The 15,949-nt window shown below is 41.1% G+C and overlaps 1 protein-coding gene across 3 annotated transcripts in view, besides 1 other annotated feature; it reads right to left on the bottom strand.

The window, feature by feature from the left end:
- CBFA2T2 (CBFA2/RUNX1 partner transcriptional co-repressor 2) overlaps positions 1–15,949 on the bottom strand; it is a 159,935-nt gene that overhangs the window by 40,658 nt on the left and 103,328 nt on the right. For all 3 annotated transcript variants that reach the window (NM_001032999.3, NM_005093.4, NM_001039709.2), the window contains one exon: positions 2,274–2,417. In NM_001032999.3, the coding sequence (NP_001028171.1) occupies positions 2,274–2,417 (144 nt within the window). The remainder of the gene's footprint in view (positions 1–2,273; positions 2,418–15,949) is intronic.
- Positions 2,715–2,764: a silencer, noted in NCBI's record as "silent region_12815". NCBI's record gives its function as "represses an Ori minimal core promoter by ATAC-STARR-seq in GM12878 lymphoblastoid cells {active_cell/tissue: GM12878}" and the evidence as "EXISTENCE:reporter gene assay evidence [ECO:0000049][PMID:35858748]".

Below are 15,949 nucleotides of genomic sequence, written 5' to 3'. Positions count from 1 at the left end.
GCACCACCACATCCAGCTAATTTTTTGTATTTTTAGTAGAGACAGGGTTTCACCATGTTGGCCAGGCTGGTCTCGAACTCCTGACCTCAAGTGATCTGTCCTCCTCGGCCTCCCAAAGTGTTAGGATTATAGGTGTGAGCCACTGCGCCTGGCCTATGCTTGTTTATTTCTATATTTGTGTTGCCTTAATAGATGTTCACTTATTAATAATACAATACACAATACATATGTGCATACTTTAATTAAGTTTTATAAGTTGTGTATACAGTGTATATTTTTGCTTTGTTCAGCAAAGGGTGTTTAGGAAAATGCTGCTGAATGATTCACTGCATAACAGACTAACGGGCTGAGAAAAGGGGTGAGTTTTCTTGTGTCTTCCACTAAAGAAAATTAGTAAAGCTAATGAAAGGAAAGTTGAACACTCAACCTCAGCAATCCAGAAAATTAGTTGCAATAGTCTGCCATTTCTTTGTTTTCACAGAAAGGTCAATTGCCATTGGAAAGTTGCTCCATTTTGAAGGAACCAATAAAAATAACACATTACCATGCTTTTAGCTTCTCTGATGTATAGAAAGGCTTTTTCGTAGTCTCTTTAGAAAAAAATGTATGATCACATTTTCTGAAATGAAACACAACCACCGCCAAGCAGCCAAATATGGAAGTAAAAAGGGCTGAATTTGTATATACATATACCTATTGGTGTATCTTGAAATCTGATTGATGGCTGAGGTTTAAATCTGTTTCTTTTCAAGATAGTATATATGTCTAGGGCTGTTCAACTTTGAGATAGAAATTAGAATTTAAGAAAAGGGATATCACACTTCTTTTCATTCACTCTGGCTCAAACTGAATGCTACAGTTACCAGCTACTCCATTTCAAATGTTTTGGAAAATAATAAACTTCCAATTAAAGCTGTACATCTTACATTCTCTTCTCTTGCCTTTTAAAATAATAAACACAAAAAACAAAAAATTTTGAGCAAGGACAGTGTGCAAGCTTGTGTAATGGCATTTAAATGAAACAATACATACAGCATCTAGCTCAGTGCTCTGACACTTTTTGGGCATTCCAAAAATAGCAGTACATTTTGGTTTACAGGCAAAAGATCTGCAGAGTGTCAAAGTGAACTGGGGACGGCAGCATGTGCATGGAAAGGTAGAACTCAAATGAAGATCAAGACACTTGTGTGCATGTATGTATACTAGTTTATTTGGGGTTCTTTTGGTGATTATAGATATATAGGACTGAAATTGTTGAGTTACAGGGCACGTGGAAATTCAGCATTAGTGCAAACTGCCAATTTCCAAAAGATGTACTAAATTACACTCCAACCAGCATTGTATGAGTGTTCAAGTTGCTCCATACATCCTCACCAAAACTTGGTATCATTTTGAACATCCTGGTGGGTGTATAATGGTACTGTATTGGGTGTTAGTTTGCATTTCCTTGATGGTTAGTGAAGTTGAATATATTGTTACATATATTATTAGCTAACATAATGGTTATGGACTGAATTCTGCCCGAGCCTTGGCCAAATTCATACATTGAAGTCTTACCCCTTGTACCTCAGAATAGGACTATATTTGGAGATACTTTGAAGAGTTCATTAAGGTTAAAAGAGGTATTATGAGTAGTCCCTAATCCAATATGATTATTATCCTTAAAGGCAGGGGAAGAGACACCAGGGACGCAAAATGGAGGAAAGACCATGTGAGGATATGGCAAGAAGGCAACCATCTACAAGGCCCAGGTAAAACCAAACCTGCCAATACCTTGATCTTTACATTCTTGCCTCCAGAACTGTGAAAAAGTGAATAAAAATAAATTGTTTAAACCATCCAGTCTGTGGTATTTCATTATGGCAGCCCTAGTAAACAAATACAACAATATTCTCTTTTGTAAAAAGTCTTACCATGACAGCACTGGAACATTTTTAGAATTCTATAATTTTAGAAAACTTACTTGGAATCCCATAAGGCAATATAATAATTTAAATTCATTATTGTTAGAGTCAAAGAAATAAAAATAGTTACCAGCCAAAGAATATGAAAACAAAATATTTAAACAACTAAATATCCAAATAAGCTAAGTATTATTCTCAGAGGGTAAAAGTAATTTATAAAAGAAACAACCAGAAATATATATCTGTGTCTATATTTTCAATAGTACTTTGAAAACACTGAATAATATATGTGGAACGCTTCATACAAGTCAGTCACTTAGATCCAAATGTCACTCTGAACTACAAACATAAGTAACTAAGAGGTCTCACATGCAGTAGGAGTGAAGGACACTGGCCTCGGTCCTCCAGGATTTATTGGTGGGAGGGGTGGCATGGTGGGAGGTGAGGATCTGGACTGTATCTTCACTTCCACAGGCGATCCAGGCATCGCTGGCACCCTTTTCTCAGGACCAACTGCAGAGAATCAGAGAAATGGAGGTTAGGGTTTTCTAAAAGTTTGCAAAAACAGACAACAATTTGAAATACCAACATACTTCCCTAGAGGACTGCTTGGTATAATAGGCTGAATAGTGACCCCCTAAAAGATATGTCCACATCCCAACATCTGGAACTGTGAATGTTACCTGATTTGGCAAAAGGGTCTTTGAAGATATCATTAAGTTAAAAATCTTGAGAGGATGAGATCATCCTAGATTGTCTGGGTGGGCTCTAAATCCAATCTGAATGGTGTCCTTAAAGAAGGGATGAGACACAGACACAGAGACATACACAGAGGGAAGCCAAAGAGAGGACAGTCACACCAAGTGGCGACAGAGGCAGGGACTAGAGTGACACATCTATACACCGAGGAATGCCAAGGAGTGCCAGCAACCAGCAAGCCAGGAGGGAGAAGGGGACACATTTGTCCTCTGAAACCCCGGGAAGGAATCAACCTTGCTGATACCTCAATTTTGGGCCTCTGGCTTTCTGAACTGTGAGAGAATGAATTTCTATTGTCTTAAGCCACTCAGTTAGTGGTACTTTGTTACTTCAACCCTAGGAACTAAAATGAGGAAACAAGGTCAAGAGGTGATGTGAACTGAAAGTTAGCAGTCTTTAGATAGTGGCTGAGAAAGGAAGAAACCAGGTTACAAATATAGCTTACCTCAAATGCATTTTCTTTAACTTCTCCTTATAAATGAATCAAATTATTAGGGGTGAAAAAGCTAACATGGGAACTATCTAGACTTAGGCCTCAACTGCAAGACATGAAAAGAAAATCAATCAGTTATATATAAATCAATATTAATAGGCTGGGCACGGTGGCTCATGCCTGTAAACCTAGCACTTTGGGAGGCTGAGGCGGGTGGATCACCTAAGGTCAGGAGTTTGAGATCAGCCTGGCCAACATGGTGAAACCCTGTCTCTACTAAAAATATAAAAATTAGCTGGGTGTGGTGGTGGGCACCTGTAGTCCCAGTTACTCAGGAGGCTGAGGCAAGAGAATCGCTTGAACCTGGGAGGCGGAGGTTGCAGTGAGCCAAGATCATGCCACTGCACTCTAGCCTGGGTGACAGAGCGACTCTGTCTTAAAAAAAAAAAAATCACCATTAATAATGATGTACTAAATTATATATATACATATCAACTACATCAAGTAGGAAAAAAGAGGGAGTCAACCTCTCTGACCTCAAACATGTAAATGTCATTCATGCTATACATTGTTCAAAAAGATGAAAAGTAGAGCTGAGTCTACATGAAGCAGAGGCTACTTCATCTATGGGAACAATTAATAATAGGCAGTTGTTTGATAATACTAAATGGCAACAAAATTCCAGAAAGATAAATTAGATAAACTTCATGATGCTGCAATTAGGTAGGTCTGAGCTAACAGGAATCAGACTTGATACCAATGAGTAATATTCTAATATATCTAACAAGTTATTTTTCCCTATCAAAGAGAACTTGTTACATACTTAGTTAATAATACGACCAGGGTTACCATAATCACCTTTAAATTGAGCTATGTTCCTCACAGTAATTCTAAGCTTTTCACTTAAGTACCAGCCATTCATTCTCCAATAACTGCTGAATTCAAATTAAAGTGTAAAAAATGGGGAGCAAAGGCTCAAATAAGAAGGTAAAGTCCAAGTTTTCCTTCTGTGAGAGCACAGCTATAAAGACAATACATACAAGAGTGTTCACGATCCTGGCAACAAGGAACATTTTTGTGCATTGATGGGACACAATGGTATTTGTAGAAAAGTATCTCCAAATACCATTTTTATGCTTCAGTTTGCAGTGGCCACACTTGGGAAAGGGATATAATAAAGTCAATCAAGAAAGCAATGCCCCCAAGTTACAAATCCCCTGACAAAAATGTGCAGTTCTCAGAACCATGTGGGCAACACTCTGCCAGCCCTTCCCATTTCTCTGTTCAGGACATTTTCTTTGTGAAATTGATGGTCGTCCTGTCTGATTAGTGGACTAATGAGCTGTTGCGCTTGCCTTTTCTTCCTGACAGTATTTTCTCAATGCCCTTCAGAGAACAGTTGACACATTTCCAGCTCTTCCATCTGGGGCCCAGCTTTCTGGAAGGGTAGGGGAGAAGGAAAGGAAGGAACTGACAGTTGTCTCGCACTGTAATGTGTTGTGTACAGTGTGCAACAACCTAGAGGGAGCTTTTCTTCAGACCACCTGGCTCTATAGCAAGGGTGCCAAAGACTTGAGGAAGGCTTAGCAGTGAGATGAGTTTTAACAGTCAGCACTTGGCAGAATAAAAAAGTTAGAGCAGCCCAAATGCAGAACGCTGAACTCTGTGCTCTTACCAACCAAAAGCTTTGATAGTGGGCCAAACCCAGCCACTAGAGAACTGTTTACAGATTGATACTTTTCATTTCACCACCCAAAACCTACAACACTAGTGTTTCTTCATGTTTCAAGTGAATGAAGCAGAAAAAGCACAGGTATGAAGACTGAGAGATTCCGTGTGAATTCTCATTCTGTTACAATGCAAGTGAATTTCACCAATTCATTTCACCTTTCTAGGCCTCATTTTCAACATATGTAAAATGAGTGACAGTAAGACCTACCTGTCAGGAAACATGTAATGATTAAAGATGATGCCTAAATCACTGCAAGGTATACAGAAGGTGCTTAATTAACAGGAATGATGATTAGAAGATAGAAATCCTGGTGTCAAATTCTGGACATACTATTAACTAGGTATGTGACCTTGACCAAGTTAATATTAACATCTGTTTTCTGTGGAAAATAGGTATACTATCAACAATTTATCCATGGAAACTCAGAGATAATGTATGGAATGATCCAAGAATTAATAGCTGCAAAATCACCAAGCACAATGTAAAGTGGCATTTTTGATGGAAGCTGGGTGGCATGAATGCCCTTCATGGAGTGAGATCTATCCAAGTGGTTTACAAGGTGACAAATTCAGCAGTTGCTCAGATGATGGGAAAGGGTATGTTCCAAAGTAGGCATTTTAACCCTCTGCCTGGGGTCACAGGATTATAGTAAGTCCCTGTAGGAAGAAGGCTATGACATGCCTTTATGTCATCCTAGTTATGGTGACTTCCTTTTTGAATTTTTATGAAAATGATAGTTATGTGCTATATTCTAGCTGGATCCCATTAAAGAATCAACCATATATTGAACTCTCTTCTATCTTGGAGAACCTTAAATAGAGTTGAAGAAGAAATTCTTTTCCCTCAATTGTGGCTTAAGTCCATAAACACCATTGCTTAGCATATCAAACAGCCATAAAGATTTAGTCCCAGGAAGTCAAAATAACCCTTGGTTTTGTCATAAGGGTCCAACTCAATTTCAAATTCAAAGTAACTGACAATTTAGTCACCCTATGAGTTTGTGTTTTGATTATTCTGAATATATTTGTATACGTGTATTAAAAATAAATGCATGTGTGCATATATATGTATGTATATATTAAAAAATAAAACCCAGATATGACAGCATGCATTTCCAAAATGACTTATGGTTCAACACCTAAACCATGGGAAGCCAAAGAACTTGATGAGTCAAAATGGAAAAGTATGTCTGAATAATTTCTTCACTGTGTGCAATTTGCTAAGGATATCCTGAAAACAGAAAACAGATGAAAGAATAAAGTAATAAACAGTTCTCTGTGTGATAGCAGTGATATTTTTTCCTACATAGGAATTTAAAGAATCAAAGATGAAACTAAAGAGTAGAACTATCCTGTAGCTCCACAGGAAAGTAACACTGAACACCCAGCAGTCTTCCTCTTATCTGCAGTTTCAGTTTCCACGGTTTCAGTTACCTACAGTCACCCAAAGTCCAAAAATATCAAATGGAAAATTTCAGAAATAAACAATTCATAAGTTTTAAATTGAGCACCGTACTGAATAGTGTGATGAAATCTCACACCATCCCACCTGGGATGTGAATCATCCCTTTGTCCAGAGTATACACTACCCGACCATAAGTCACTTAGTAGCCATCTCGGTTACCATCAGATGAACTGTCATGGTTTTGCAGTGCTTGTGGTCAAGTAACCCTGATTATTAGTTAATAATGGCCCCAAAGTAAAAGAGGAGTGATGCTGGCAATTCGGACACACCAAAGTGAAGCTGTAAAGTACTAAGTGAAAAGGCAGAAGTTCTTGACTTCGTAAGGAAAGAAAAAATTCCTATGCTGAGGTTGCTGACATCTACTGTAAGAAGGAAAAAGACGTTTGTGCTCATTTTGCTGTTGCATCTCATAGGCTCAGTTACAGTCCAAAAGGAATGTATGTAGGGTTCAATACTTCCCATGGTTTCAGGCATCCACCGGAGGTCTTGGAACATATTCCACGTGGGTAAGGGGGAACCACTGTATTACTGACTGACATCCCAGAAATGTGCTACTTGAGAAGAATCTTCCATGATAAACTGCCCACAATCAAGGGCATTTACAAATCATTATAAATTGCTTTTGAGTTTTTTTTTTTTTTTTAATCAGAGACTGGCAGAGAGCAGAGGTGTAAATACGAGATAAGAAAATAATGAGGTTATCTAAAGGGAAAGGCTACTCCCAAGCAATTGGAAAGAAGAAAAATTTAGGTCTCAAGGAGAAAGCATGTTGAGGCAAAAGGTGAGCCTGATGTGAAGAATGCTCCATCACTCCCTAGTTGTGTGACAGTGGTTTTCTTTATCTGTCCCTGGGGATATTTCAACACAGGGTTATATGAAGGGTACCATAATGGACATAACAATGGTGGGTATACAGCAGATACTCTCACATGGTTTACTTGAATCATATTTTAAAATATATTAGAATTATGGTTGGGCATGATGGCACATGCCTGTAATCCAAACCACCTTGAGACGGGAGAATTGCTAGACACGAGGATAAGCCCAGAGTTTGAGAACAGGCTGGGCAACACAGGGAGACCTCATCTCTCCAAAAACAACAAAAAAAATTAGCTGGATGTGGTGGCGCATGCCTGTGGTCCCGGCTACTCATTAGGCTGGGGTGGGAGGATCACCTGAGTCCAGGAGGTCGAGGCTGCAGTGAGCTGTGATCACACCACTGTGCTCCAGCCTGAGTGACAGGGTGAGACCCTGTCTCAAAAAAAAAAAAATCTATTAGAATAACAGTTTACCGAGTTTGAGATGTTATCTATGCTGTGTGGGGTAGAAGATCTGGTCAAGTGTTCCTGTTTATCATGACTGAGAAAATATGCAGAATATAGATCTTTCTATATTAGATCTATCTATAAAGATCCATATAGAGATCTTTCCTATAATGACAGGAACACTGATCATTCCAAAGAAGCTGGCCAAGGAAGCCATTAAATCCATTGCTTTATAAAAAAATCAGACTCCAGGCTGAGCACGGTGGCTCATGCCTGTAATCCCAGCGCTTTGGGAAGCTGAGGCGGGCGGATCACCTGAGGCCAGGAGTTCAAGATCAGCCTGGCCAACAGGGTGAAACCCTGTCTCTACTAAAAATACAAAAATGAGTTGGGCGTGGTGGCACACACCTGTAATCCCAGCTACTCAGGAGGCTGAGGCAGGAGAACCGCTTGAACACGAGAGGCAGAGGCTGCAATAAGCCAAGACCGCACCACTGCACTCCAGTCTGGGCGACAGAGCGAGACTCTGTCTAAAAACAAACAAACAAAAAACAACAACAACAATAAAAAACCCACAAAAAAAACAAAAATCAGACTCTCAGGCTGGGCGTGGGTGGCTCCTGCCTGTAATCCCAAGACTTTGGGAGACTGAGGTGGGCGGATTAGACTAACAGAAGGGAGCGGGGAGGCTTATCATTTTAGGCCATGAAGTTCTGACATGGTTTGTTATGCAGGAATAGACAACTAATCTACACCACATACAAATTATAATGTTCCTTTTTTTTTTTGGTTCTATTATTGTGTTTTATAATATCACAATATGTCCTGGAATTCTTAATTCCACAATTTTAAAAAACAATATGATAATACACTTTGAGGAGGTACCATAGTTCATTTAAACAATCCCTTGTCAATGAACAATTGGATTATTTCCAATAATTTGGTCCTGGATTTTGAGGATCCAGATCCCAATCTACTTGACTGTCCTGGATTTGCCAGGCCTTAGGGAAGTTCAGAGATGAAGGTAGGGAGGGACCTCACTTATGGGAAAGACAGACATACAGTACTGGGAAAATAAAGAAATAGAAACATTACCATGTACGACGGCCAGGCAAGTCTTAACACAATGTTAAGGTGTTTGCTGGAAAGGCTACATGGGCTCTCCAGGTAGCACATGGGATATAGTTTGAATAGTGCCCCCAAGAGGTGGTATCACAGCTGAAGGAAAAATCAGGGAAAAGATTTCCTGGACCATAGCCTCTCTTCAATCACTGCCAAGCATAGGTAAATGTTCTGAATGTGTAATTGTCATATGGTAAGAATTTCCAGGCCGGGTGCAGTGGCTCATACCTGTAATCCCAGCACGTTGGGAGGCCAATGCAGGCAGATCACCTGAGGTCAGGAGTTCAAGACGAGCCTGGCCAACATGGTGAAACCCCATCTCTACTAAACAAAAATTAGCTGGGCATGGTGGCAGGCGTCTGTAATCCCAGCTGCTCAGGAGGCTGAGGCAGAAGAACTGCTTGAACCCAGGAGGTGGAGGTTGCAGTTAGTTGAGATGGTGCCACTGCACTCCAGCCTGGAAAACAGCAAGACTCCATCACAAAAAAAAAAAAAAAAAAAAAAAAAAAAACTTTCCAAAAGTGATAATTCTAACTTGCTAAAGATGGAGGAAGAAACATCAAAATTACTGTTACATTTATAGCCTTATAAAGTTGGCTAAACTGATTATGGACATAGTACATGCTTAAGGATGAGCATTTACCATCTTTGTAACTCTGCCACAAATCTGACAACACATCCAACTTCCTAATAACACGCAGGCTTCATATGCCGAGATGGCCAGAAACAACTGTTTATAATGACAAACAATTTATCATTCAACAAAAATGGAGACATAAGGACTCAAAGAAATTACCAGAGGCTGGGCACAGTGGCTCACGCCTGTAATCCCAGCACTTTGGGAGGTTGAGGTGGGTGGATCACCTGAGGTCAGGAGTTCAAGACCAGCCTGGCCAACATGGTGAAACCCCGTTTCTACTAAAAATACAAAAAATTAGCCAGGCATGGTGGTGGGCACCTGTAAACCCAGCTACTCAGGAGGCTATGGCTGGCAGAAGAATCACTTGAACCTGGGAGGTGGAGGTTGCGGTGAGCCAAGATCATGCCATTCATTGCACTACAGCCTGGGCAACAGAGTAAGGCTCCGTCTCAAAAAAAAAAAAAAGGGAAATTACCAGAAAGTATTTTACAAGGACCTTTGAAGATAGAAGATGGAGCACAATTAAAACAAAATCAATACTTTAACATGTACCAACACTGATAGAAAAAATAAATTTTTTACATTCCATGTTTATACATATACTGGAAAATTAATTTATCATTATTATAGCTCAGGAATCAGGAAACTTTTCCTGCCAAAGGCAAGACAGTAAATATTTTTTTGCTCTATTGTAGCACACTATAGACAATATACAAATAAATGGGCTTGGCTGTGTTGTAATCAATCTTTATTCACAAAAATGGACAGTGGGCCACAGGTTTTTTTTTTCTCTTGAGACAGAGTCTCACTGTCGCCCAGGCTGTATTGCAGTGGCGCCATCTCTGTTCACTGCAACCTCCGCCTCCTGGGTTCAAGCAATTCTCCTGCCTCAGCTTCCCAAGTAGCTGGGACTACAGGCACATGCCACTGAGCCCAGCTAATTTTTTTGTATTTTAGTAGAGATGGAGTTTCACCCTGCTGCCCAGGCTGGTCTCGAACTCCTGAGCTCAGGCAATCCACCTGCCTCGGCCTCCCAAAGTGCTGGGATTACAGGCGTAAGCCACCATGCCTGGCCGACAGTGGGCCACAGTTTACTGACTTCTGCTATAACTGATTAAAAAGCTGGAAAACCAGCCTGGGCAATGAAGTGAGACTGCTGCGGGAAGTCAGGGACCCCAAACGGAGGGACCGGCTGAAGCCATGGCAGAAGAAGGTGGATTGTGAAGATTTCATGGACATTTATTAGTTCCCCAAATTAATACTTTTATTTCTTATGCCTGTCTTTACTGCAATCTCTAAACATAAATTGTAAAGATTTTATGGACACTTATCACTTCCCCAATCAATACTCTTGTGATTTCCTATGCCTGTCTTTACTTTAATCTCTTAATCCTGTCAGCTGAGGAGGATGTATATCGCCTCAGGACTCTGTAATAATTGCATTAACTGCACAAATTGTACAGCAGGTGTGTTTGAGCAATACGAAATGTGGGCACCTTGAAAAAAGAACAGGATAACAGCAATTGTTCAGGGAATAAGAGAGATAACCTTAAACTCTGACCGCTGATGAGCCAGGCAGAACAGAGCCATATTTCTCTCCTTTCAAAAGCAAATGGGAGAAATATCACTGAATTCTTTTTCTCAGCATGGAACATCCCTGGGAAAGAGAATACGCGCCTGGATGTATAGGCTTATAAACGGCCCCCCTAGGTGCGCCTGTCTCTTATGGTCGAGACTGCAGGGGTGAAATAGACCCCAGTCTCCCATAGTGCTCCCAGGCTTATTAGGAAGAGGAAATTCCCGCCTAATAAATTTTGGTCAGACCGGTTTATCTCAAAACCCTGTCTTCTGATAAGATGTTATCAATGACAATGGTGCTAACTTCATCAGCAATTTTAATTTTGCCTGGTCCTGTGGTCCTGTGATCTTGCCCTGCCTCCACTTGCCTTGTGATATTCTATTACCTTGTAAAGTACTTGATGTCTGTGACCCACACGTATTCGCACACTCCCTCCCCTTTTGAAACTCCCTAATAAAAACTTGCTGGTTTTTGCGGCTTGTGGGGCATCATGGAACCTACCGACATATGATGTCTCCCCTGGACGCCCAGCTTTAAAATTTCTCTCTTTTGTACTCTGTCCCTTTATTTCTCAAGCTGGCCGATGCTAAAGGAAAATAGAAAAGAACCTACGTGAATATTGGGGCAGATTCCCCGATATGAGACCCTGTCTTTTCAAAAAATAAAAGAATTAGCTGGGCACAGTGGCATGCACCTGTGGTCCCAGCTACTTGGGAGGCCATGTACCTACCGAAGAACTACAAAAGGAGGTTGCAGTGAGCTGAGATCGTGCCATTGCACTCCACTAACTGGGGGTGGGGTAGGGAGTGGTTTCAGGATGAAACTGTTCCACCTCAGATCATCAGGCATTAGATTCTCATAAGGAGTGCACAACCTAGATCCCTCACATGTCCAGTTAACAACAGGGATTGCCCTCCTAATGAGAATCTAATGCCATGGCTGATCTGGCAGGAGGCAGAGGTCAGGCGGTAATGCACTGGCTCACCACTTGCTGTGCCACACGGTTCCTAACAGGTCACAGATCCATACCGGTATGCAGCCTGAGGATTGGAGACCCCTGTCTTAACATAACCCCCAGGTAGTGGAATGCAGTTAAATAAGGAATTTGAGTAACTTTTCCTAAATTGAATCTTAGAATTTTCTCATCTATTTATTCAAAATTATTCGAGTAACTACTAAGTCTTCTACTACTGAGGTGACAGCAGTAAATAAATAAAAAATAAATACAAAATAGAGGTCAAAAGGCCGGGTACAGTGGCTCATATCTCTAATCCCAGCACTTTGTGAGGCTGAGGGTGGGAGGATGGCTTGAGTCCAGAGTTTGAGACCAGCCTGGACAAGATGGCAAGACCCCGGCTCCACAAAATTAAAACCAAAAAAAAATTAGCCAGGTGTGAGAGTGCTTGCCTATAATTCCAGCTGCTTTGGAGGCTCAGACAGGAGGATTCCTTCAGCCCTGGAGTTTCAGGCTGCAGTGAGCTGTGATTGTGCCACTGTACTCTAGCCTGGTTGACAGATGAGACTGAAAAAAAGAAAGAAAAAAAAAAAAAAAAAACAGAGGTCAAGAAACAATTTTGAGGTTTTTAGCCTAAGCAACTGGAAGGATGAAGTTACCATTTACTAAGAAGGAGGAACTGGTAAAGGAAAATGGGGAAAGAGCAACTGAAGATCAGGATTACCTTTAAAATGCTCAGTAGATATTCTAACAGAAATGCTGGATAAGCAGCTGGATATAAAAGTGTGGAGCTGAGGCCTGGGGTGGGAAAGTCTGAAGTTGTGATGAAATATTTTCAAATAATGGCATATAGATTCTACGGAAAGCCTGAGAACAGGTATCTTACTGGAAGTGGGTACAGATCTGCAGGTATTTCCACTCTTAGAGATCATGAAAGACAAGAAACTAAAAAAAGAGACTGAAAAAGAAAAGCCAAGGAAATAAGGGGAAAAACCAGAAGCCAAGTAAAGAGTATAATCTACCGGGCTGTAAGCACTGTGAATTTCAAGAATAAATATACAAAGAGCATAGGAATACATGCTAGCTGTTTAGGTTATTATAATGATTAGACCAGTGATTAATAAAATGCCTTTTTAAACCTACTTATTTGAAAACCTGCTTTCATCAAAGTATCATTAAGAATACAGGTACAATGAAGGTGAGAACAAGTATATTATGTGTAACAAAGAATATATTAACATTTAAGAGACTGCACACAGATCTCGCCCCAGAACTTAACTGAGACAGATACAGTGGCTACAGCACCTTAAGCCAGGAAAGAGTTAATATAAAATTTTCATTACTCCCTCAATTTAAGACCATCTCTTAGCTGAAACAGAATATACAGTAAATATAAAAAGCTGTATGCAGCAAAAGATGAGATGAAAAGGTCAGTTTGGCAAAACAGCCAAATTCCAGACCAGCTAGAGATTTATATTCTTGAATAGTCAAAGGTAGGCTATTGTGGAAGAAAGAAAACTGGGCATGAAACTGTGACTGTGAATCCTGATTTTTCTGCCAATTTATCAGCTACTGTGGAACCCTGGACAAGTCATGCCAGAGCCTTGGTTTCTTCATTTGTAAAACAGAGGAAGGGAGGTGTTAAAAGGCAAATAAAGTAACAGATTAAAAAGTGCTGTAGGCCAGGCATGGTGGTTCACGTCTGTAATCCCAGCACTTTGGGAGGCTGAGGCAGGTGGATCGAGTCAGCTCAGAAGTACAAGACCAGCCTGGCCAACATGGCAAAACCTGATCTCTACAAAACATACAAAAATTTAGCTGGGAGTGGTGGCGTACACCTATAGTCCCAGCTCCTTGGGAGGATTGCCTGAGCCTGGGAGGCAGAGGTTGTAGTGAGCCGAGATTGTGCCACTGCACTTCAGCCTGGGTGACAGAGCAAGGCCCGCTCTCAAAAAAAATAAATTAAAAAAAAAATGAAAATTAAAAAACAAGTACCGTATAAGATTTTTAAGCTAGGCACAGTGGCTCATGCCTGTAATCCCAGCACTTTGGGAGGCCGAGGTGGGCGGATCACAAGGTCAAGAGATCGAGACCATCCTGGCCAACGTGGTGAAACCCCGTCTCTACTAAAAATAGAAAAATCAGCTGGGCATGGTGGTGTGCGCCTGTAGTCCCAGCTACTCAGGAGGCTGAGACTGGAGAATCACATGAACCCAGGAGGCAGAGGTTGCAGTGAGCCGGGATTGGGCCACTGCACTCCAGCCTGGGCAACAAAGTGAGACTCCGACTCAAAAAAAAAATTTTTTCAAGTGTAAGATATTATTAGACAGCTATCCACCAGAAATGCATTAAGAATCATTACAGCACTACGTGCTGAGGGTCTCTTCCAATGCTAATTATTTCAACATTTAAAGATATATTGTAATTGCCAAGTCTGTTGATAACCTTAATGCAAGTTAAAAACAGTAGCAACACAGCTGACCTGAAAATGTAAATAGGGAAAAAATGAAATATGGATTGTTGCTTCCCAGCTCCAGCAAATATTTATTTAGAATAATATAGTTATCTACTCCAACTGCACACCATCTGTTTCAGGTCTCCACCAGCTTAGTATTTCTCACATGAACAGAAAAGACTTAAATTAAATTTGATTAGCATCTTGCCTTTGTATGGAAGCCACCCCTACCACAATCAAAATCGACTGAATCCCAACCACTTAAAGGTGTGTCACATTACTGCCTGGGCCACACATACGCAGCCAAAGTCAGAGAACTCAGAGAATCTGAGACTGATGGAGAATCAGCTAACTTTAGTCTTCTTGGCCAAAAATAAACCTCACTTTTTTTTCGGGAGACAGGGAAAAACGCTATCAATTTCTCACACAGCTAGTTAATGGCTTTCCTACGATTCAAAAAGCCAGGTCTCTTGGGTTCCAGCATTTGATACATCTGTGCTAAATGTCTGCGGAACACAGAACCTTCTAGAGGAAATCTAGCAGTAGGCCGGGCTCGGTGGCTCACACCTGTAATCCCAGCACTTTGGGAGGCCGAGGCAGGAGGATCACGAGGTCAAGAGATCGAGACCATTCCGGCTAACACAGTGAAACCCTGTCTCTACTAAAAACATAAAAATTAGACAGGTGTGGTGGCAGACGCCTGTAGTCCCAGCTACTCGGGAGGCTGAGGCAAGAGAATTGCTCCAACCCAGGAGGCAGAGGTTGCAGTGAGCCGAGGTTGCGCCACTGCACTCCAGCCTGGGCAACAGAGTGAGACTCCGTCTCAAAAAAAAAGAAAAGAAAGAAATATAGCAGTAAATTCTGACAGTCCAGCTCTTAAATATGTCACAGTATGTCATGTCTCCCATCTCTATTGCTAGAATTTAGCCACTGTCATCTCTCACCTGGACTGCTTCATCTGCCTCCTAACTATTCTTTCTGCTTCTGCTTTTAACCCCTTCAGTCCATTCATCACGTAGTATCCAAAGTGCTGATTTAAAACCTAAAACAGATCTTCCCACAGACCTGAACTCTTCTAATGGCTTCCTATTGCTCTTACAATAAAACATAAACTTACCTTGGCTTGAATGCCATGATCTACTCAGCAGTTCTCAAAATATGGTCCTGGGACCGTTGGGGGCCCTGGAGACCCTTTGGGATATGTGTGGACAGAAGGGGAAAGGTCAAAACAATTTTCATAATCGTAGCAAGAAGAGGTCATTTATCCTTTTTACTCTTTCATGAGTGAATGGTAGCTTTTTACAGAGATTACATGATTAATGCAGAAGCAGATATAAAAATCTAGCTATCTTGTATTAAAAACCAGTCAGAAGGTTGGGCGTGTTGGCTCATGCCTGTAATACCAGCACTTTGGGAGGCGGAGGCAGGCAGATCACCTGATGTCAGGAGCTCGAGACCAGCCTGGCCAACATGGCAAAACCCCGTCTCTAGTGAAAATACAAAAATTAGCCAGGCGTGGTGGCAGGTGCCTGTAATCCCAGCTACTCGGGAGGCTGACACTGGAGAATCACTTGAACCCAGGAGGCGAAGGTTGCAGTGAGCTGAGACCATGTCACTGCACAGCCTGGGAAACACAGTGAG

The sequence above is a fragment of the Homo sapiens genome, chromosome 20 (assembly GCF_000001405.40).
Source record: "Homo sapiens chromosome 20, GRCh38.p14 Primary Assembly".
NCBI lineage: Eukaryota > Metazoa > Chordata > Mammalia > Primates > Hominidae > Homo > Homo sapiens.
The sequence above is the reverse complement of the archived record's forward strand: the minus strand, read 5'-3'. Positions and strand labels throughout refer to the sequence as shown.